We start from the raw sequence: 21,953 nt of genomic DNA, 5'->3' as shown, positions 1-21,953 counted from the left end.
GAGTCCTGCTGATCTCCCTACTCTCCTTCTTCCCCAGCTCTCAGCCCTCGGGAAAGGAGTCTCCGCCCCAACTCAGACACCCTGCATTCAGGAGTCATAGCCTCACTTCGCCCAGAGGCTACACATTTTAATTACTGAATTAAAACTGATTATAACAAAAGTGACCATGGTGACTGCTGGGACCTGAGAAGGACTGAGAAGGTGCTGGAAGTCTTACAGTTTCTACCTGGGATGGGGGACCATGGGAGACCAGGATCGGGCAGTGCTTTTATGTCTCTAGAACCTGCAGGTGCAGTGCTCTGGTTCCTGCACAGGTGCAGCCCACCTCCCAGGAGCAGATAAGCAGTGCCGCCCATCCCCTGCAGCTGCACTGGTGCCATTTCAGAGGGCTGGCTTCAGTACTTTCTCCACGGCAGCCATTAACCTTATGTGGGGGGCGCTGAGACCCTCTGTGCACTCACCCCAGGGCTCAGGAGAGAAATAGGTTTGAAGAAGAGAAGACAGTATCTTTATGACAAGTAGGAAGTGTCCCAGGCCCCTCTGAGCAGGGCCAAGGGTATGGCAGGAGGTGAGGTCTGAGGTGGCAACAGTGTGGACCCATAGCATGGGCAGCCCTGGGGGTAGATGTCCTGGGGACCAGGGGCACTGGCTGGTTAAAAGAAGCATCTACCAGAGCCTGGGGGCAGGGGGCAGATGTCAGCCCAGTTCTCAAGAACTGGGTCATCTGGTCAGCTGGGCACTGTTGTCCCCAGAAAGGGGACAACATACTGTGAGCTCTCTCTTCAGGGTTTCTTTGGGCAGAAGCTCAGAGCAGCATCAAGATCAGTGGTTGGCAAAGCTGGCTGCAACTTGCGGTCACCTGGGAGTCCACCCCCACAGATTTGGTGGACCTGCCCAGGATGAATCCCAGACTGTGAGAGTGTTAAAGGCTGCCCAGGTGGTTCTAATGTGTGGCCAATGTTGAGATACTGGGCTCTAGGACAGCGGCGCTTCTCAAACTTAGGAGTGCTTATGAATCTGCTTAAGGTGATGCTTCCCACCCAGTACGTCTGGAATAATGGCAGCAGTGCTGGTCCGTGGACGACACTTGGAGTGGTGAGGCTCCAGGTCTGCGCTCTCTAACACAGAGCCAGTAGCTGCACGTGGCTGTTTAAATGTAAATGTAAGCGAAATTAAAATGCAGTTCCTCAGTCACAGCAGCCACATTTCAAGAGCTCAGGAGCCACGTATGACTGGTTGACAGCACAGAGGGCATTTCCATCATTATACAAAGTTTTACTGGGCAGCACTGTTTCAGGGCTGTCACTAGCAAATAGCATCTTGCTGAGACTCTGTAAGGGTTGTGCTCTTCCCAAAAATGGCTTGGGTGTCAAGGCACCATAATACTTCACCTTTCTGCCTGTATGCCTGCCCCCCTCTATCAGCTTCTTGAAGTCAGGGTCTGCAGCAGATTTACCCTCTCAGTAAATGGGTAAATAATAACAACAATAGCTAACATATAGTGAGCACTTACTAAGTGCCAAGTATTAACGTTAAATGCTTTATGCGTTAATTTTCAACAACAATTCTATTTAGTAAATAAGAAAAGAAACTTAGGTTAAAGAACTTGCACAAAGGCATGTAGCTAGTAAACTGTGGAGGAGAGGTGGAGGCCACATAGACTCACTGCAGCCCACGCTCCACAGTGTCATGCTGCACTGCAGTTCTCAGCTGGGGCAGGCATGGGCCCCAGCAGACATTGGCAGTGCCTGGAGACATATTTGATTGACACCGCTGTGGTAGGGTGGGGAAGGGAGGTATACCAGCATCTAGCAGGTAGAGACGCTGAGCATCCTACAGTGCACAGGACAGCTCCCCACAACAAAGACCTATCCAGCCCAAAATGTCAGCAGTGCCAAGGCTGAGTAACTGTTGTTTGCCACTCAATGAATAAGTTAAAATGGGGAGGAAGTGGTTTTATAGGACAGTCATGAGGTCATACCTCTTAGTAAGAGATGGTATGTGATGTAGTGAATGAAAATTAGAGATCAAGAGGTCTGTGTTCAAATCCCAGCTTTGTTACATATTGGCCAAGGACCCTGGACAAGTCACTTTGTTCCATAAGACTCTGTGGTCCCATATCCAAAATGGGGATTGAAAATATCCTTACGTTGCAAGGAGGGCTGTGAGGGTCATTATGAATATGATACTGCTCTGAAGACAAAGATGGAATAAACCTTAGCTGTGAACATTTCTTTGGTCGGGAGAAACTTCCCTACCTGACTAGTGCTGAGTGAAGGAGGGCCCAGATGTAATAGAGAAAGGGAAATCTGAGCTCCAAGGACAATAGCTGCCCCTGGAATGGATTACTTACTCTTCTGTTGGCCACCCTAGACAGTTCTTGTAGAATTCCAGCAGTTCCTGGAGATCTGAGATGGGGAGACAAGGAATCTAAGGTGAGGTGTTTGTGTACATTTCAAAGTGTAAGTAGAATAATTTTTCACCTTTTTCTCAATCGTGCTCTAGCTCAAAGTTATTTTTAAATAACAGTGCCTTTCCCTCCCCATATCCTTGTGAGGTCACAGTTATATCAGCTGGTTGGGAGCGGAGACCAGCTGTCTCTGTGGAGGTAGAGTGGTCATTGCCTCCTGCCGAGAGGCTAGCTTTAATTGCACAGGCAGCGGCAGTTTAGCAAGTGTGCTTTCAGTCCAGCTCCTCCACTGACAACTCTGTGCCGTTGAGCCCGGCCCTGGCTCCCCGGGATCTCCACTATGAGATGTGGAGGTTGGACCAGGCCACCCTGGGATGTCTGCCAACCTTGACATGCCAAGTGCTGGGCAGCTGTCCCAGAAGTCAGGAAAAGAGCCTGGTAAGGCATCTGCCCCTTGGGGTGCCCCCAATACACATGGCTGGCCAGATTCCTGGCCTCACTCCACACACCCAAACACAGATGTGACTCAACGATTGTTTTTTCTTTATGAATGCCTTCTCACAGATGTTACCTGTGAGCAATAGATCCCCAAAGCAGGTATAGTTGGGGCCCTGACAACAACCAAAGCAGACCCCAGGGCCCCATTTGGGAAAAACTCACATCAGTTTCTACTATGGGGACCTGAGCAAACTCCTGCCCTGGGACAAGGACTGACACTCACCCCACCCCATGATGGATATACTACCATATGAGGCCCTCGTAAATAAATGCTGCCACTGGGAGACTCTCTGTCTCCCTCAGCCTTTTCACCGGGGAAGACGGCCCCTCTGGGCCCTCACTCCCTCGCCTTTTAATGATAGAAGCGTGCTACCAGGGCTGTTAAAGCAGCAGTGGCTTTTGTCTTTCTGCCATGTGGAGTTGAAGCTTGTGTGAAAAGAGATATGTGGCCCAGCGGGAGGCGGGTTTCTGAGCATCAGTTGGGAAATTCAAACCACAGAAAGCCTGGCCTGGGAAAGCAGGAGAGCCGGCTGAGGAGCCCTTGGCAGTGCCTCCTGACCTGGGAGTCAGGTAAGGGATGAGGGCAGTTTGGCCCTGGCAGCCCCATGCTGGTGGCTGGGAAAGAAGCTTCCAGAAACAGTGTCCTTCTGTTTGCCCCTAGGCTGCAAAGTGAGTCTGTGTGGAGTCAGATCCTCTGCACTCGCTGAGTTGTGCAATTCCACTTAGGAGAGGAAGTGGAGCAAGAGGAGGGGAGGCTCTGGAGGGTGGAGGAGGAGGGAGATTGTGTGGATGAGGGGAGGCAGTGGTTAGAAAAGGCAAAGGGGGTGAGGCCCTACGGAGGGTGCACTTGAAGCTGTGGGGTAGTGAAGCGGTGGAAAGGGTCTGCTGGTGAGGGCATCCGGGGCACCTTGCTTAATTGCAGTGTGGAAACAGCTCTGGGTGCAAACTTGCCTCATTTCTCTATGTGCACAGGGAGCTAGGCTCTTCTTCCTGGTCACTCTCAAGCACCTAGTGACTCCTGTCTTAGGGGGGGTTTTGTTATTTGTGTGCTTTTACTTCTAATTGAAGAATAATATGCATACAGAGAAATGCACAGATCCTATGTGTGTAGCTCAGTGCATTTCCAGACTGAATACACCAGACCAAGAAACAGAATGAGACCAGCACCCCAGAGGCCCTGCCGTGTCCCCTTTCAGCAGGCTCTGGAACTCATTCCTGATTGTGGACCATGGTGGCTGTCAGAAGATCCTCTGGTCCTGATGGCTTTTGCAGGAGAGCCTGTCTCCATGCACTGGAGAGAAAGATTCAAAAAAATCATTCCTGTCTAGACTCAGCACCTTCCCCAGGGCCTGGCACCTAGTGGGCACCCACCAGGTCCAGTCCGTTCTCATTGTCTAAGGAAGTTATGCTCTGAGAAGTCACTGCAAGCTAACTTAGCAAGTACTGAGCCACTGCTCCTGGAGGAAATGCAAGGTTAGCTTCCTGTGTGTCTCCTGCCACAGCATCAATAGATCAACACATAACCTTGTTTTAGGTGTAATTCTGTTTAAAGATGCTTTATTTAGTATATATTGTTGACGCATTGACACCGAACACACAGCCAACGGCACTGTAACTCAGGCCTGAATGAAGCTTATCTGAAACACACATTATCTCCATCGGGCACATCACAGCCTCCTTGGGCTTAGGAACATTAGACAGCACATCAGCACTCCACTTGGCAGCCTAACCAGCAGAATCACCAAGAAAACCTAGTGCCCCAAAATGTGGCACTGAGTAGACTACAAAAAAGATACTGTATACGGTGTAAGAGCTAAAACAATAAGGCGGCGCATCACTGCTTGACCTCAGCTGGGAACTTGCACATTGGGAAACTCAAATGTTTTGCTGCCCTGCACGTGTTTGCAAATGACCATGCCAACACCATGCATATTGATTTTGGGATTACAAATGTATTTTAGCGAGTAGGCGAATTCTCAAATATGGAGTCAGCTCACAGCGATGATTGACTCTATTTGTTGAATGAGGAGAGGAAGGAATGGCGGTAAGCTTAATTTAAGGTGGAACTGGGACACAGCACCGTCTCCTGTCATTAGCAGTGGGGGCCTGCCCTGAAAAGCTCTTGCTCAGTCTCAAAATGCTCAGCATGGTTTTGAGAAGAAGACTTGGTTGAGCATTACCACCCTGAGTTCCACAGTGAGATCACACAGCCTGGCTCTGGGACAGATCTGATGACGAGCGACTGTAGACGTTGCCAGCATGTATTGATCAGGAGCAGCCTGTGAGTCAAGACTGACAACAGATCAATAAATGGCTTTTAAAAAGCAAAACCCCTCAAGCTGTTTATCTAGGAAGCCTGACAAACCCTGCCGCAGTGGTGTGGCCCCATGTGTCCCCAGGGCCTGGGGCCCACCTCTGCCCCAGAAGTCCTCTTAGTGTCTGTAGACAGGTCCCATTTCCACCAGGTCAACCAGGGCTGTGGCAGTGGACCTGGATGGCAGGCAGAGCAGAGGACCGCTGTTCTATTTGTTGAAGCAACGAGGCACAGTGACTGTTCTAGCACAGCTGGCTGTGAGAAATGGCGATGATGGATCCACTTTAGATCCGAAGTCTTAGCAAACTCAGGCCTCTTTTCCACAGAGAATGTTGTGAAGACCTGGGAATGAGCTGTTGATGTGCATTTTTAGGATGACAGCATAATGGAGAAAATTGGAAGTAGCATATGCCAAAGTATGAAGTGTTCACACAGCTCCCTTGGGTTGTTGATTTATGGGAAGCTTTTTTCTCCTTTATACTTTTATCTACTTTCTAAATCTGTACAATATGCTTGTGTACTTCTATGAACAAGAAAGAAATGTTATGAAAAGAAAAAGTTTCTTAAAAATTGCTGCATCAGGCCGGGTGCAGTGGCTCCCACCCATAATCCCAGCACTTTGGGAGGCAGAGGTGAGAAGATCATTGGAGACCAGCCTGGGTGACATAGCGAGACCCCATCTCTACAAAAATTAATTTAGAAAAAAATTAGCTAGTCATGGCCGGGCACAGTGGCTCATGCCTGTAATCCCAGCACTTTGGGAGGCTGAGGCGGGTGGATCACGAGGTCAAGAGATCGAGACCATCCTGGCTAACATGGTGAAACCCCGTCTCTACTAAAAAATACAAAAAATTAGCTGAGCGTGGTGGTGCATGCCTGTAGTCCCAGCTACTCGGGAGGCTGAGGCAAGGGAATCCCTTGAACCCAGGAGGCGGAGCTTGCAGTGAGCCTAGATTGCGCCACTGCACTCCAGCCTGGGCAACAGAGCGAGACTCCATCTCAAAAAAAAAAAAAAAAAAAGCCAGGCATGTGGCTCACACCCATAATTCCAGCTACTCAGGAGGCTGAAAAAGTTGCTACTTCAGAAAGGACACCATGTACCAAATTTTTCAGAGGCCTGGAAATCTTGTTGCCTTACCTTAAGGCAGAGCCTGTGCTTTATATCCTCAGCCAAAAGGCAAGCAACCTGGGAATTTACATTGTACGACAACTCGTTGCCTCTCAGGAGACTGTGCTTGACAGCCCTCAGCTTCCAGACTTAACAGCTGCATCCCTAGTGTCATACGGGGTGTGGCCCACCATTGGGGTCCCACCCTGGGCCCCTCAACTCGTCATAGCAGAAGTCCTTCTGAAAGAAAAAAACAATACCTTAAGGCTGAATTTTAATAGGCACTAAAAGAACTAACCATCACCTATCAGAAAGTCAAAATGAAGTGATGAGACGAATCTGTCCCACGTAGGCGTAGTTGAACACCTCTAGAAATGGTTTAACATTGAGGATTTTTGAAAGGGTTCATTTTAGATCTTCCCGAATACAAATAGCTCAGTAATAATGCCAAATGTGGGTCTGAAAACTTTGTCATCCTCTCCTACAGGAGAGTTCTGTGTGGAGGTATTTTAAGAGTGATTCCTGGGAATGCAGATGAAAACGGCTCTCATCTCGGGCAGTGTGTCCTGCATCCGGGATGGCCAGGCTCGCTGTAACACACAGCGTGTGCATGGAGGAGAGAGCGCCGCCGTGGATAGCGGGACTGCGGTGCACACTGGTGTGGCTTGGGCCAGGCTCCTCCATGATGCAGCGCCAGCAGGGCAGCCCCGATCAGACCCGCTGGCTCTCACACACTGTGGCAGACGTGACCAGGATGAGGCGCCTGCCCTTACAGGGCTTGCAGGCAGACTGGCACACACAGCATTGAGATGGTCTGCTGGAACCCGTGGACGATGTTCTCAGGGAGCCAAGAGTCAGCCTGGCTGCCTGACCCTGCAAGAGGCTGGGGTGCAACCCATTGCTTGCTGTGGTTTTCTTATCACAACAGCCACGAGGGCTCGTTGTCATGGCAGAATGGCTCTCTGGTCTCCATCAAGCTCCAGGGTAAGGTTTGACCAAAATTCTCCACCCCTCCTCCAGCAGGAACAATAACAACACTAGCAACAAGCACATAACAACAGCAGCAATTGTGGCAGCAACTAACACCACTAAGGGCTTTCCCTGGATTCTCTCACAGAATCTTCACAACCACGCTGGGAAGTGTAGACAGTGGATATTTCACCTGATCTTCACCAACCACGCTGAGAGGTATAGACAGTGGATATTTCACCCAATCTTCACAATCACACCAAGAGGGACAGTGGATATTTCACTTATCTTCAAAACCACACTGAGAGATATAGACAGTGGATATTTCACTTCACAACCACACTGGGAGGCATAGGTCGTGGATTATGTCATGGAATCTTCACACCACACTAGCAAGTGTCTACACCTGCTACAAGCATACAGTTCAGAGAGGCCTCCTAGGCCCCTGCCACAGAGCAGAGTGGCTCATCACACAGCTGCTCTGCCTGTGCTCACTGGGGACAAAGGCACAGCTTCTTTGAGGCTCAGCACTGTGGAAGGTGATGCTCAGCCCATCACCCCTTTCTCAGCTTATCTGCTGAGAGGCTCCAGGTGGAATCTCAGGCATCTGTGAACTACATTATGGAGCTGGAGTGGGTTCTCTCTCTTTTTCCTGGTGTCTAGACCCCCATTTGCCATTCCTGCACTCCTCTGCCAATGAGGGTGGCCCTGGACAGTCCCTGTAACAGGGCCTAGAGATTACAAGGGCCCTCTTGCATTCCTGACAAGGAAAAAGGTGAGAAAGAAGAGAATACAGAATAAAAGGAAAGACCAGCAGTTGCAGGGAAAGAGGCAGGAACCAAAAAGGAGAGAAATGGTGGTGTGGTCATAAGCTGGCCCAGTGCTTGGCGATGCTGCTATTGCAGGTTACCTTATCCCACAGCAGCATGGCCTGGCCCAGCCAGGGCACCCACCCACTCCCGTGGGTCTGCATGTGAACACAGACACACGCTTAAAACACACACACAGTACAGCTGGAAACATTCCTACCCCACAGACAGGCAGCAGCAGGTGACCCTTCTGTGTTTGGGATGGAATTCTGCCAGCATGCTCCTGATGTAAGGAAAGGAAAATTTACCTCTTGCCAAGCTCAGCATTTAGAAGTGTATCTGGTACATAGTCTGTGGTGTGTGTTTGTTCGGTAGATAAGAAATGCTTATGACCAAAGGCATACTTCAGTTGGGTAGATGGTCAGCTAGCAAACATGTCTAGTACCAAACATAGTGAGGCAAGTGTCTCGAGAGGTTACAGAGGACTTAGGAGAGAGACTGACCAGAACAGACTTCATGGAGGAGGTAGTGTCTAGGGACCCTGGTGAACCAGCGGGGAGGATTCTAGAACAAGATATCCAAGCCCTTGTCACCTCTCTTGAGCTGTGGCCACAGCCTCCCTCCTAGCTTCCCAGCCTCTCGTCCCTCTACAGTCAGACTGATTCTCCACACAACCTTCAGAGTGAGCCCATGGTTTAAAACCCCCACAGTGTCCCCATTATGGACAGAAAAAGAAAAAAGACAGAAAAGACCCTTCCTTGGGGCCGGTTTACACAACTCCTCCACCTGCCCCCAACCCCAGCCTGGAAGATTGTTCTCCAGATCCCAACCCAGAAGGCACCCCTACTCCCACTCACCAGTGTTAGCCCCTGTGTCCGCATAGCCCTTTGTAAATTTTAGCATTTTCCAGTTTCTACCACAGTTACTTGTTTGTGTCTCGTCTCCCCAACTAGACTTTGAGCTTTTTGAAGGAACAATTTGTTGTTTATTTTCCCACCTCAAATATAAGGTCGTCCTTGCTCATAGCAAACAAGGTGAAACAGGAGAATAGAAATGCTGGGCTCTGGCTAGGAATAGAAAGTAGGGCTGGAGTGTACACTAAGAAGTATTAGTAATTTCAGCAATTCTGCCTGTTGGATCAGGAGTAGAAGAGAGAATGCTGGGAGGAAGCGATGACGGCTGAGGGTCAGGAGCAAGCAGGAGTTCCAGGTTAGGAACAAAAGTCAGACAAGGACCTGGAGAAGGGCCTCAGAGGCTGGAGGGATGCCCCAGGAGGACAGGCTCCCCCAGAGAGGATGTGCAGCCACGTCAGAGCTGCAGGGGTGAAGCAGGTTGAGGACCAGGCTTGACCTTGGGATTTGGGGTTGGGTGGTTGGGAGGATGGAAGGAGTGGTGTCAACTCGTGGCTGGTTCAGCAAGTGGCTGACGAGACATAGGCAGAGGCCATTTGAGCTAAGGGTAGAGGAGGAGGGAGAACTGGACCTTCAAGGGACAATGAGGCTCCGGGGAGACTTCTTTCAAGCTATGGAAGACCCAAGCATTCTGCTAAGCTGCAGGGAAGATGTCAGTGGGAGAGACTGAAGAGTCAGGAAAGGGGTAGGATGAGTCCAAGAGGTGCAGCAGGATTCCCAGGGGGCCAGTCAGGTGGAGGCCCCAGGGAGCAGCCAGAAAAAGGAGTGAGAGCCGTCCCTGGCTGCCAGGGCCAGGGGAGGTCCTGGCTGTGTGAGGCTGAAGGCTCTTCTCACCACCAGCAAGAGACTGTAGCTTGCAAAGCAGTGGCCACCCCGCTTGTACCTCCTTGTTGACCAGGGCACTAAGGGAAAAGAATTCCAGCCTGAACTGGAAGCAGAAACAAAGGCAAAGTGAGTAATATCCTCTGCACACCAGAGCAAGGGGTGGAAGACATCAGGCCACAGAGAACAATGACATTCACTCCTCCTGGACATCTGCATGTGTTGCTGTGAAACAGTGCTGTTGTCACCCGGCTGACTCAAGCACACTGTGTAGAAGGGAACTGAGGAGAGGTGCCAGGTGGTTGGAGATCAGTTTCAGCCTTTGTTTTATCCCGTGGCAGGCAAACATCCAGAAGCAGGCTCATGGGGAACCTTGGGTTCTATGCTTTTGATGTACCTGTAAGAAGCCACTTATTGGCCAGGGGAGGTGGCTCACGCCTGTAATTGCAGCACTTTGGGAAGCTGAGGCAGGCAGATTGTTTGAGCTCAGGAGTTCGAGACCAGCCTGGGCAACATGGCAAGACCCCATCTCTACAAAAAATTCACTGGGCGTGATGGTGCATGACTGTAATCCCAGCTGCTCAGGAGGCCAAGGTGGGAGGATCACTTGAGCCTGGTAGGCGGAGGGTGCAGTGAGCCTTGATCGCACCACTGTACTTCAGCCTGGGTGTCAGAGTGAGACCCTGTCTCAAAAAAAAAAAGAAAAGAAAAGAAAAGAAAAGCCACTTATTTAATCCACAGATTTCTTTTTTCTATTGATGAAGGTAATAAATTCTTATCGTAGAAAATATGAAAATACAGAAGAGCTGAAATGTAAGAGGAGGGGAATGACCCACAATTTCACCACCCAAAGACAAGCACAGTAAATATGGAAGGAGATTCCACAAAACATATGGTGTCTTTTTTTTGAGACAGAGTGTCACTCTTTTTTTTTTTTTTTTTTTTTTTTTTTTTTTGAGACGGAGTCTCGCTCTGTCGCCCAGGCTGGAGTGCAGTGGCGCGATCTCGGCTCACTGCAAGCTCCGCCTCCCGGGTTCACGCCATTCTCCTGCCTCAGCCTCCAGAGTGTCACTCTTGTCCAGGCTGGAGTGCAATGGCGTGATCTCAGCTCACTGCAACCTCCACCTCCCAAGTTCAAGCGATTGTCCTGCCACAGTCTCCCAAGTAGGTGGGACTACAGGCATGTGCCACCATGCCCAGCTAATTTTTGTATTTTTAGTAGAGACGGGGTTTTGCCATGTTGACCAAGTTGGTCTCGAACTCCTGACCTCAGGTGATCCACCCCCTCTTGGCCTTCCAGAGAGTTGGGATTACAGGCATGCGCCACCGCACCCGGCCAACTCTATATGGTTTCAAAGGCACTATTTCTTTTCTCTCTAGAACATTAAGGAAAGCAACTGTGACCAGTTTTTGGTGTCACTGTCTCCAGAAAGGGAAGGTTATGCTCACAGTTTTTAGAAGACAAGAGATTAATAGTGTGTCTACAGCATTTGAGCAGGAATCAGCATTTGGACCAGTACATACTGGTCCAAAATGACAGGATTATATTAAAGAAATTTTATCTATTTGTGTACTTATTTTTATCTCCTTCCAGAAAGGATTCCTAGGAGGAAGTTGGCTTTAAAGTACACACCGACCCTATAGAAGCAGTTGCATTTAATTTTGTGGGGCTCAGACTAGAGGAGCATAATCTCTCTGATGCATCTTTAATAAGAAAACAAAGCCCCTAAAGAAAGTAATCCTCTCCCAGACACCCTGCAACCCTGAACCAAAGCAGTAGTGTTCTCTGTGCAGGAGACACAAAGGGTGCAACCGAAGAGGGAATAGGACTGTTTCTATAATCTTGTGCCTTTACCCAACAGAAAAGAGTCTGCCGCCTGCAGCAACAGGGCCTGGAGCTGATGGGCAGCCTGCGCCACCCTGGATCACCGTCACTCGGCAGAAGCGGAGGGGGACCTTGGACCAGCCACCCAACCAGGAAGACAAGCCTGGGGCACGGACCCTGAAGTCTGAACCAGGAAAGCAAGCCAAGGTGCCCGAGAGAGGCCAGGTGCTTAGAGCAAATACTTCTGTTCTGTGGGTGCAGGAGGGAGCAGCCAGCTGGGACTGGGGCGAGGACCCTGTAAGGACCACATGTGCTGCATGGGCGTCACAGGGACCGTCACCTGTGATGGTTGTGGATGTGTGGTCGAGAGCCAATGAAGCAAAATAAATGACTTGCCAAATCATAACCTCCATGGTGGAGCATTCTGCCTGCCTTTGCATATGCTGAGCTGTTGGGGATGCAGAGAAGCATGTGAATCACTTAGGCAGTGCAGACAGCTCTCTACTCCCTGCCTCCTTGGCAACGCAGCAGCTCAGCATCTAGAAAAATGGGAGGAGGTTAAAATAACTTCGAGTTAGACACACAGCAATGATGTCGACAGCTCCATCCCAGCTTATCATGCTGTGAGGAGCGAGCCCTGCTCTTTGCTGCTCCACCGGCCACATGCTGGAGCTCCTCATTCCTCACCTGGGGCTGCGGGGCTGGAACTTGTGGTTCCATTTTGTACTCTGAATTGAAGGCAGCTTTCACCAACCCAAACAACTATGCCTAGAATCAGGCCGAGACTCGCAATTTTTGTATCCCCCAATAGCACCGTGATGAATCTGTGTGTTTCAGCCATGTGGGGAAGAGAGCCTGAGCCTGCATTAGGACCTGCTTCCCCTCGTTTTAACCAGAACCTCAATTATACCAGACTTGAAGACCCTCATGTAGGCGTGGGGAATTTAGAAAACAAATAGTAACCAGTTTGGGACATCTATAACTATTCCAACTGTCATAAAAATCACAAAATGATTTCTAAACAAATCTTGACTTTCAAATGGAATCCCTGCCATCTGGCACTGAGGCCAGGTGTGGGGACAGGAAGGAAGCCATGATGCACGTGTGTGCCAGGATAAGGCCGCATACTGGTCCCAGCGCCAGCATCTGACCACTCGGTGTTAGTGAGCTGACACCAGGGCGCCCTCCCGAGAAAGTGCCAGCAGTGCAGGCATCTTGGATGAGCAGCTTTGCAGCTCCTTCACTTTGGATGTGTTTGCCCCTGTCTGAATCATTGTTAACTTGGCAGCATGTGTCTTATGTCCCAACAGGAGCCTGTGAAGCAAGCTGACTTTGTTCGCAGCAAGTCTTTCCTGATAACCCCTGTGAAGCCCGCTGTGGACCGGAAGCAGGGGGCAAAGCTCAACTTCAAGGAGGGGCTGCAAAGAGGAATCTCATTGTCCCATCAGAACTTGGGTATGAAATCTGCAAACATTACCACATACTTTGAAATCATTTTCCTGGGTCGTTCCTGCAGTTTGAGTTTTGGTTTGGTTTGGTTTTTGCAAATTACTTGCAACATTGAGTTTTCTACACAGCTCTTACGGAGATACAATTTACGTGTCATAAAACTCATCCATTTTAGTGTACAGTTCATTAAGTATAAGGTTGACCCTTGAACAACACGGGTTTGAACTGCACAGGTCTACTTAAATGCTGACTTTTTTCCAACCAAACCCAGATGGAAAATTACCTGTATCCTATCCTCAGGATGTGAAATCTGAGAAAACAGAGGGCCGTCTTTTTTTATGTGCGGGTTCCACGGGCTGACTGCAGTACTTGAGTATTCATAGATTTTGGTATATGCAGGTGGGAGAGGTCCTAGAACCAGCTCCCTGCATACACCAGGGGACAACTGTATATTGACAGTGAGCATGTATGTATTTACAGAGTTGCACAACTGTGATGAAAATCTAATTTTACAATATTTCCCTCACACTAAAGAGAAACCTCATGCCCATTTACAGTCACTTCCCACTCCCACTCCTAGCTCTAGGCAACCACTAATCTACTCTGTCTCTATAGATTTGCCTTTTTGGGACATTTCTAATGAATAGAATCCTAACGTATGTACCCTTTTATATCTGGCGTCTTTCACTGAGCATAGCATCTTCAAGATATGCCTTTGTTGTTGCATGTATCAGTATTTAAAAATTTTTAGGCCGGACGCCATGGCTTACGCTTGTAATCCCAGCACTTTGGGAGGCCGAGTCGGGCAGATCACCTGAGGTCAGGAGTTCGAGACCAGCCTGGCCAACATGGCAAAACCCCGTCTCTACTAAAAATACAAAAATTCGACAGGCATGGTGGCGCATGTCTGTAATCCCAGCTATTTGGGAGGCTGAGGCAGGAGAATCGCTTGAACCCGGGAGGCAGAGATTGCAGGGAGCTGAGATTGTACCACTGCACTCCAGCCTGGGCAACACAGTGAGACTTCTGTCTCAAAAAAAAAAAAAAATATATATATATATATATATATATATATATATATATATTTTTAATTATGGTAAGGGCACATAACAGAATTTACCATCTTAGCCATTTTTAAGTGCACAGTTCAGTTCAGTAGTTTTAAGTGAGGGACATTGCTGCAGCCCATCTGTAGAGCTCCTGCCATTTTATTTCCAAAGTCTCTCTCACCTCATTGCATTGCCAGAATTGTTTGAGCTTGCTCATAAGTCTTTTTATCACATAAATGACATATTCTAGGCCCAAATCTTCCTTACATGTTGACATATTATTGAATTTTATGTTCGAGAACACAGTTAAGACCTCGATGTCTAGTTCGAGAAACACAAGAGGCTTAAGGGAAAATTCGAAGTCACTGCTCATGTTTCTGTTGGTTTTGTCTCCCTTCCAAGCAGCTCAGTCTGCAGTGATGATGGAGAAGGAACTGCATCAGCTGAAGAGAGCCAGTTATGCCAGTACAGATCAGCCATCCTGGATGGAACTTGCCAGAAAGAAATCTCAAGCTTGGAGTGACATGCCCCAGATTATAAAATAGGTGGGCAGTGTGCTGATAAAGCATGTCCACTACCCTGACAAGCCACTTAGTTAAAAACTGCCAGTGTATTGTGGCAAACAAACTGTGAAACTTAAAGATTGATTTTATCATCAAGTTATGACGAACTTGGGGAAGAGGAAGGAACCAGGCAAAACAAAGAGGATAAACACACAGCCATACTCCTGGGCCAGAGGGCCCAGAAACAAGAACAACATTGAAAAAGTCCAGGAACCAGTTCCTGTGCCCAAAGGTACGAATGTGTCTTTTCGAATTCCCTTGATAAAGAAGCCTCAGACAAGGAAGAAAATAGAAATGAAATTGGACACATAAATAGGACACCCAGCAAAGGCCAGAAGAGAAGCCCTTCTAGGAGAAGGGACATCTGTGCTTCCAGCTGAGATCAGCCCATGTCTCTGGTCGCTCTCTTGCCTGTGGATCCTGTCTTCTTTCATGTTTACTACGAGGCATGACATTCATGGCAAAACAGGGATGCCGTTTCCAAGAGCAGCTATAAAACAATCTGTTTTCCTAAAGACAGCCACTCTGAGAAGGAGATGAAGGAACACGGCAGGGTTCATCAATTCATAGACTGTTTCCAAAAATAATTTTTAAACTTTTCCACTAGGCATCTGTGTCTTTAACCACTGCACAATGCATTGCCTGTTTAATAAAAGGTTTCAAACATGCCTCTGTTCTAAGTGTAAATGTTATTTCTACTCAGATTTAGAGAACATCCTCCAGCACTGAGTTAAATGCAATGAATAGGGTTTTGCTTCATACATGCCTCATTTAAAATTCTGAATTGGGTTAATTGTGGAGTTTGAGTTTTTGAGGTTTTTTTTTTCCCCAGTGAGAATTTTGGAAGACAGACGGTAATGTAGGGTTTTAACTCTTTTCATCTATTTAGTACGACATACTAAATATATAAAATTTCCTTAGAAGTTATCATTCTTTAGCATCTAATCAATCGAACCTGCATATTTCTGTTGAAAGCTGGGTTACCAGTGCATCAGCCAGTATGACCCATGAATGTGGAATGTGGAAAAACCAGGCAGAAGGAAAACATATTTGAAATCTCGGAATTGTCTTGGTTACATAATGCCTCTTTACTGTTTAAAATAGTTCCAATTTGTTCCTTCGAGCAAGGTAATCTCCATGGGAGTACATGTAGCTGGGGGCATTTAGCCATCAGAATCACTACAACTTCATGATATACTATAATTTGATTTTATATACCCTAGGGCCTTGCTACTTTTATTGTATTTTCCATCTTCATGAATATTGTTTTTCTAGCTGTTAGTACTACACAGATTGATTGAGCCTACCTTTATTGAGAAAGTCCTGGGTCAGTTTTTTTCCCAACCGAGTTGATTTACTAATTGCATTCTCTTAGAGAACGTCAATACCGAATTCCATGGTGAATATGCTGTAACACAAGAGCTCCGTCCATCTAGCCTTGCTTCCAAAGCCGAGGCGTCTGTGAACTGTTTTAACTGGCAAAAATTGTGTTGGCTATTACTACCCTCAAACCCCCATTTCTCCCTAGCAGATGATCAGATGAACCATTTTGAGACAGCAGATTTCACTGCAAGATCAAAAGTATTTGGTTTGGTTTTGTTCAAGCAGATGCTGATATTCTCTGTGTATTTGAGGACTTGGTTTAATTCTCTCTGACGCCTGGTGAGTTAGAAGGGTGCCATTTTTAGGACACTGGGAGAATTCACTAGGGTGTGGCCCTGCAGTTGCCACTTTCAGCATGGAGGTGGTGACCCTTCTGTCGTAACCAGCTGAGACGTTGGCCGAAATTTGGGGATGTCGGAAGTCCAGAGTGGCAGCAGAGATGGTAAAAGCCTGCAAGGAATTACCAGCCCTGGTTTTCCTAAGAAGAAAGACGGGGGAGCAATTACTGAGCCAGCCACTGCTCTATATTTCATATGTAATTTAGAATCCTCTGCACAGTCCTTTGAGGGTAAGTACTTTATGTCCACTTTGCAGGTGAGGAAACTGAGGCACATTGAGGTTAAGATCCCACAGCAGGTATGCACCTGGAAAGTGACTCCAAGGCCCATGCTTTTAAACACTACCTTCGAGTAACATCCTTATTTTTATATTTTATTTATTTTATTGACAGGGTCTCGCTCTGCCCCCAGGCTGGAGTGCAGTGGAGCAATCTCAGCTCACTGCAGCCTTGAGCTCCTGAGCTCAAGCAGTCCTCCCACCTCAGCCTTCCAAGTAGCTGAGACAACAGATGTGCACCACACCTGGCTAATCTTTTTTTTTTGTAGAGATGGGGTCTCACTATGTCGCCTAGGCTAGTCTTGAACTCCTGGGCTCAAGCGATCCTCCTGCCTCAGCCTCCCAGAGTGTGGGATTACAGGCATGAGCCACTCCACCCAGCCAACATCCCCATTTTTAAAAAGCATTGGTGCAGCGAATCACTTGAGGATAGGAGTTCAAGACCAGCCTGGCCAACATGGTGAAACCCCATCTCTACTAAAAATACAAAAAAATTAGCTGGGTATGGTGGCAGGTGCCTGTAATCCCAGCTACTCAGGAGGCTGAAGCAGGAGAATTGCTTGAACTCGGGAGGCAGAGGTTGCAGTGAGTCGAGATCACACCACTGCACTCCAGCCTGGGCAACAGAGTGGCACTCCATCTCAGAAAAAAAAAAAATTTTTTTAATAAAAAGCACTGGTGCAGTGGTGAATCTGTGGTCTCCAAGACAACCCAGACATGAGAGCACTGAATGTGACTTTGGGGGTTCCTATGTCCTAGGGACACCTCATCCTTTAATTCCTTAGACAAACTGGAAAAAGGGAGGGGGAGGCATTTATAATTTTTAATCGTGAGCACCTGCCTCAACTATGTGGTATTTTCATTCATTCCTTCACCTCATTCAGGTGACGCTTTAGTGCCTGCATCCTATGAGGGCCTAGGGACAGCTGATGAACAAACAAGTAACAGGCTAACCTTGTGCCACACCTGTCTTATTTGGGTATGGGGAGGGGGACAATAAATAAATATAAAACATACCAAAAAACCCCAAGTAAAAATAGTAATAAGTTCAATGACGAGTCTAAAACAGAAGGTCTTGATCATGGTGGAAGGACTACGTGAGATTGGGTGATTAGTGAAAGGTTTGCTGGAAGTGATCTAATTATAAAAATGATCATGGTAGCCTAGTCTAAGGTAATGCTAGAGGTGGAGAGAAGTAGATGGATTCAAACCACAATTTAAAGGTAGCGTCAGGCCGGGTGCGGTGGCTCATGCCTGTAATCCCAGCACTTTGGGAGGCTGCGGCAGGTGGATCACCTGAGGTCAGGAGTTCCAGACCAGCCTGGTCAACATGGTAAAACCCTGCCTCTACTAAAAATACAAAAAAAAAAAAAAAAATTAGCCAGGTGTGATGGTGCATGCCTCTAATCCCAGCTACTAGGAAGGCTGAGGCAAGAGAATCATTTGAACCTGGGAGGCAGAGGTTGCAGTGAGCTAAGATCACACCGCTGCACTCCAGCCTGGGCAACAGAATGAGACTCCATCTCAAAAATAATAAAGTAGAGTTAGCATCAAATCCAACATGCAGGTGGGTTTGGTATGTTTGGTATGAGAAGGAAAGGATGGAGGTAGAGACGACACCTAGATTTTTGGTTGGAGCTTCTAGGTGAGTCGTGGTAACACAGAAATGGGCGTGGAGGGTGAGATTCACAGAAAGGAGTTGAGTTTGGACATCTTAAATCTGAGATTCCCATTAGACATCTAAGTGGAAATATCAAGTTATACAATTGTAGGTAATCAGCATTTGGATAGAATGGGAATTCAGGGGTCTAGACAAAGGAGAACAGGGTGGGAGGATTGATCCTAGGACACTCCTGTACTAGGGATCTAGAGTTGTCAAAAGGGTCTGTGAAGGAAGAGGGACAGCAAGAGCGAGGCAAGAAAAAGTGTTGGAAAGAAGAGGGAAGAATCAGCTGTGTCAAGAGGGACCTGCTGAGAGTGGGATCCGCTGAGTGGGGTCCGCTGAGAGTGGGATCCGCTGAGATTGGGACCCACTGAGAGTGGGATCTGCTGAGAGTGGGACCCGCTGTGAGTGGGACCTGCTGAGAGTGGGACCTGCTGAGAGTGGGATTGGCTGAGAGTGGCATCTGCTGAGAGTGGCATCTGCTGAGAGTGGGATCTGCTGCTGAGAGTGGGATCTGCTGAGAGTGCGATCTGCTGAGAGATCCAACCAGATGAGAACAAGAGCAGCCATTGGCTTGGGAACACAAAAGCCATAGGTGGCTTGACAAGGGCCCTCTCTGTGGAAAAGTGGGGGTGGAGGCACAGGTAGATTAGGTCAAAGCTGGCCAGCCTGTAGCTACATCAGCTATAACCAACTTCCATGAAATTTTACTCATACATGAATAGGAGCAGAAGAAATGGCAGTAGCTGGGGGCAAGAGAAAGTTTTCCTATTCATTTGATACAAGAGGAGGTTTACGTATGGATAGGAATAGACTTGTAGGAGGGAAGGGAAAATTGCTGAAGCAGGTCTTTCTGAAGCACACCTCGCCGTCCAGAGATTCAGACAAGGATGAAGCACCCACACCTGCAGGCTGCTTTTGTTGTTCCTGGAAATAGGAGCCCCACGTTTTGATCCAGCTGATAAGGGGGAGCCACTGTAACGATGACATGGTCATGTGCTTGCCCTGGCTAAATGTGGACACTGGCCCATTTTCCTTACCGTGGCTTGAGTGTTAGTGCAGAGCTTTGGTATTCAGGGAGAAGGGTGTGTGACGTTATTTGGGTGTACAGCGCTCTGACAGCCCATATATATGATTGATACCCCAGGAGTCTCCTTTCCCCTGAAGAGCAAGGTAAAATCAACTTGGCTGCCAACAGATTCTATGCTTGAGAAATCCAAAGCTTTCCCCCTGGTTCCTGGGTCTTCTGTTTCTACTGTCTCCTTTGTACTTGGAACTTGTGCATTCTTGGAAGTTTTGCTCTCTTTCCCCAGAACTTGGCCCCTTCAGCAGTCTGCAGAAGAACTCCATACATATCTGCATTCTGTGTCTTGGTCAAACCCATTAAATAATTGGGACTAGGGTCACAAGGAGGGGATGCATCCTGAGGGACATGGCCCTCCCTAGCTTCCTAGTCCCACAGCTCCACCTGCCTAGCAGGACAAATTTCCCTTGTTTGTCTTAGGCACATCAGGCCTGCCTTGGGCTCTCCCTCATACACGACTCCAAGCAGCTTAACAGAGAATGTCTTCAGAACAAATGGAGTCATCCCACTGAGGAGAATGTGATGAGTAAAATGTTCTCCACCTCATTCAAGGCTATGCTTTGATGAGTGCTTAAAACCACCAGCAACAGGATCTGTGGTTCTTGTGATTCCATCCATCCTGAGTTGCCACGCTTCTCAAAAAAAAAATCCATCTTATAAGACTGACAATGCAAACGGCCCTGAAGAGAGTCCTCCTCCATACTCCATCCAGGTTTGGATAAGCCTGTCCCTGAGACCATCACGATTTCGGACTCAGGTGAGGCTGCCCACCTGAGGAGAACCCAGGCTTCTTTGTGCACACTTCAGAGGGGGTGCTCGTCTATTTCATAGGCAGAGAGTCATTGAGAAGAAGAAAAAACAGGGAGCAAATAGAGGTACCCCTGACATTTTAAGAAAAATGCAGCCAGTGAGGTGGGCACTAGATTTGCATCACTGTTAAATGGAAAACTGGGGAAGAAAAAAATTCAAAGACAGCAATTATTATATTAGATTCTGGGGGAAAAGACAGGAAAATATTTCTATAGAGGAGGTTTGAAATCGAAATATTTTAGGCATTTCAAAGTATGTCCACAAATGCTGTGGCAGTCCTCTCTTCAACGTGTGGAGCCTAATTCCCCTTCCCTTGAGTGTGGGACAGACAGAGTGCTCACTTCTAACTGCAGAACAGTTAGCAGATGGGAAGATATGTGCTGTCTGAAGCCAGGCCATGAAAGGCACAGCTGCATTTGCCTTGCATGTTCTTGGACCATTCACTCCGAAGGAAGTCAGTCCCTGTATCTCAAGGACACTCAGGCAGCCTGTGGAGATGCCCACACGGCTCGATGGCCAGCAAGCTGGTGCTGGTGGCTGAGGCCTCCCACCAGCCAAGTGGATGAACTGCCTTGGAATGGGCCCTGCCAGCCCCTGTCAAGCCTTCAGAGGCCTGCAACCCAGCTGACACACTGACAGCAGCCTCACGAGAAACCTCAGATCAGACTGCCCTGCGGGGCTGCTCCCAAACCTTGACCCACTGAAACTGCATGTATTATTAAGTCAGCACGATTGGGGATAATTTGTTACACAGCAACAGGTTTTTCATATTATTTTTCTGGATCTTGAAGTGAAAACTCCTTAGTTGTTTTAAAGTTAACATTTTAGCTGGGGTTAAGAATATAAGCGTAAGCACAGTATGAGAAAATGTTATTTAACACCTCCCGAACAGCAGGCTGTCTCAGGCTGTGCAGCAGAGATAGCTGGAGGCATACCTCAAACACCTGTGGTCCCCTCGCATGGTATGGAGTTGTTCTGGAAGCAAATGCCCAGTTGGGAACCGCATCGCCAGCCTCAGCCCCCTCCCACCCAACACACACAACTGCCTAGGCCTGTAATCAAGTCCTGGCTCCTGGAATGTAGGCGGAAGTGATATGCACCACCCCCACCCCCAATACAAATCCTTAACTTCTAGAGAAGGTTCATGTGAGGACAACCAGGATGGCAGGCGAGAAAGTCTCCTGTGGGTGAGACTTCACAGAAGCGAGAGGCTTAGCTCAGAGAGACCCAGGGGAGGGAGGAGAGGTTCCGACAGCATCTGTTGGAAGGAAAGAGGAAGAGAAAAGGGACTCATTCTGTATAATGCCACAGGGAAGAAACCAGGACCATAAATGAATGTTTGAGAGGACAAAGAAAGACATGTTTTAACTGTGAGAGCCGTTCAGTGCAGGACAGGATGTCTGGTCAGGAGTGAGCTCTCTGGCACCTGAGGGGGCAGGCTGCCAGAGGACCTCACCCCTCCAGGATGCTATACGGATCCTCACCCTCAGAGGAAGTCTGAACTAAGCGGCCTCCCCAGCCTGGAGCCACTCTGCATCTTGAACTACAACAGGTACTATCTGAGGCAGGGGCATTTTATATAGTGCTCTTCTTACTATTTATTACCAAGAAGTAATCATTCAGAAAGTCCTCCAAGTAGGCTTTTATGTAGAATGTCATTGTCCAGAATGC

At 48.1% G+C, this 21,953-nt stretch overlaps 1 protein-coding gene across 11 annotated transcripts in view; it reads left to right on the top strand.

Moving 5' to 3' along the window:
• Nucleotides 1–15,395, top strand: part of CRACDL (CRACD like) — a 142,380-nt gene extending 126,985 nt beyond the window's left edge. For 9 of the 11 annotated variants that reach the window (XM_005263926.4, XM_017003972.2, XM_011511094.2 and 6 more), the window contains 3 exons: nt 11,704–11,891; nt 12,977–13,121; nt 14,567–15,395. In XM_005263926.4, the coding sequence (XP_005263983.1) occupies nt 11,704–11,891; nt 12,977–13,121; nt 14,567–14,709 (476 nt within the window). In that variant the 3' untranslated portion in view covers nt 14,710–15,395. The remainder of the gene's footprint in view (nt 1–11,703; nt 11,892–12,976; nt 13,122–14,566) is intronic. The other 2 variants (NM_207362.3, XM_005263924.4) reach the window with 1 other exon arrangement.
• The last annotated feature ends 6,558 nt before the right edge of the window (nt 15,396–21,953 follow it).

This window comes from Homo sapiens, chromosome 2, assembly GCF_000001405.40.
Source record: "Homo sapiens chromosome 2, GRCh38.p14 Primary Assembly".
In the NCBI taxonomy this organism is placed as follows: Eukaryota; Metazoa; Chordata; class Mammalia; order Primates; family Hominidae; genus Homo; species Homo sapiens.
Note: the sequence above shows the minus strand (reverse complement) of the source record. Positions and strands in the feature narration are given on the sequence as shown.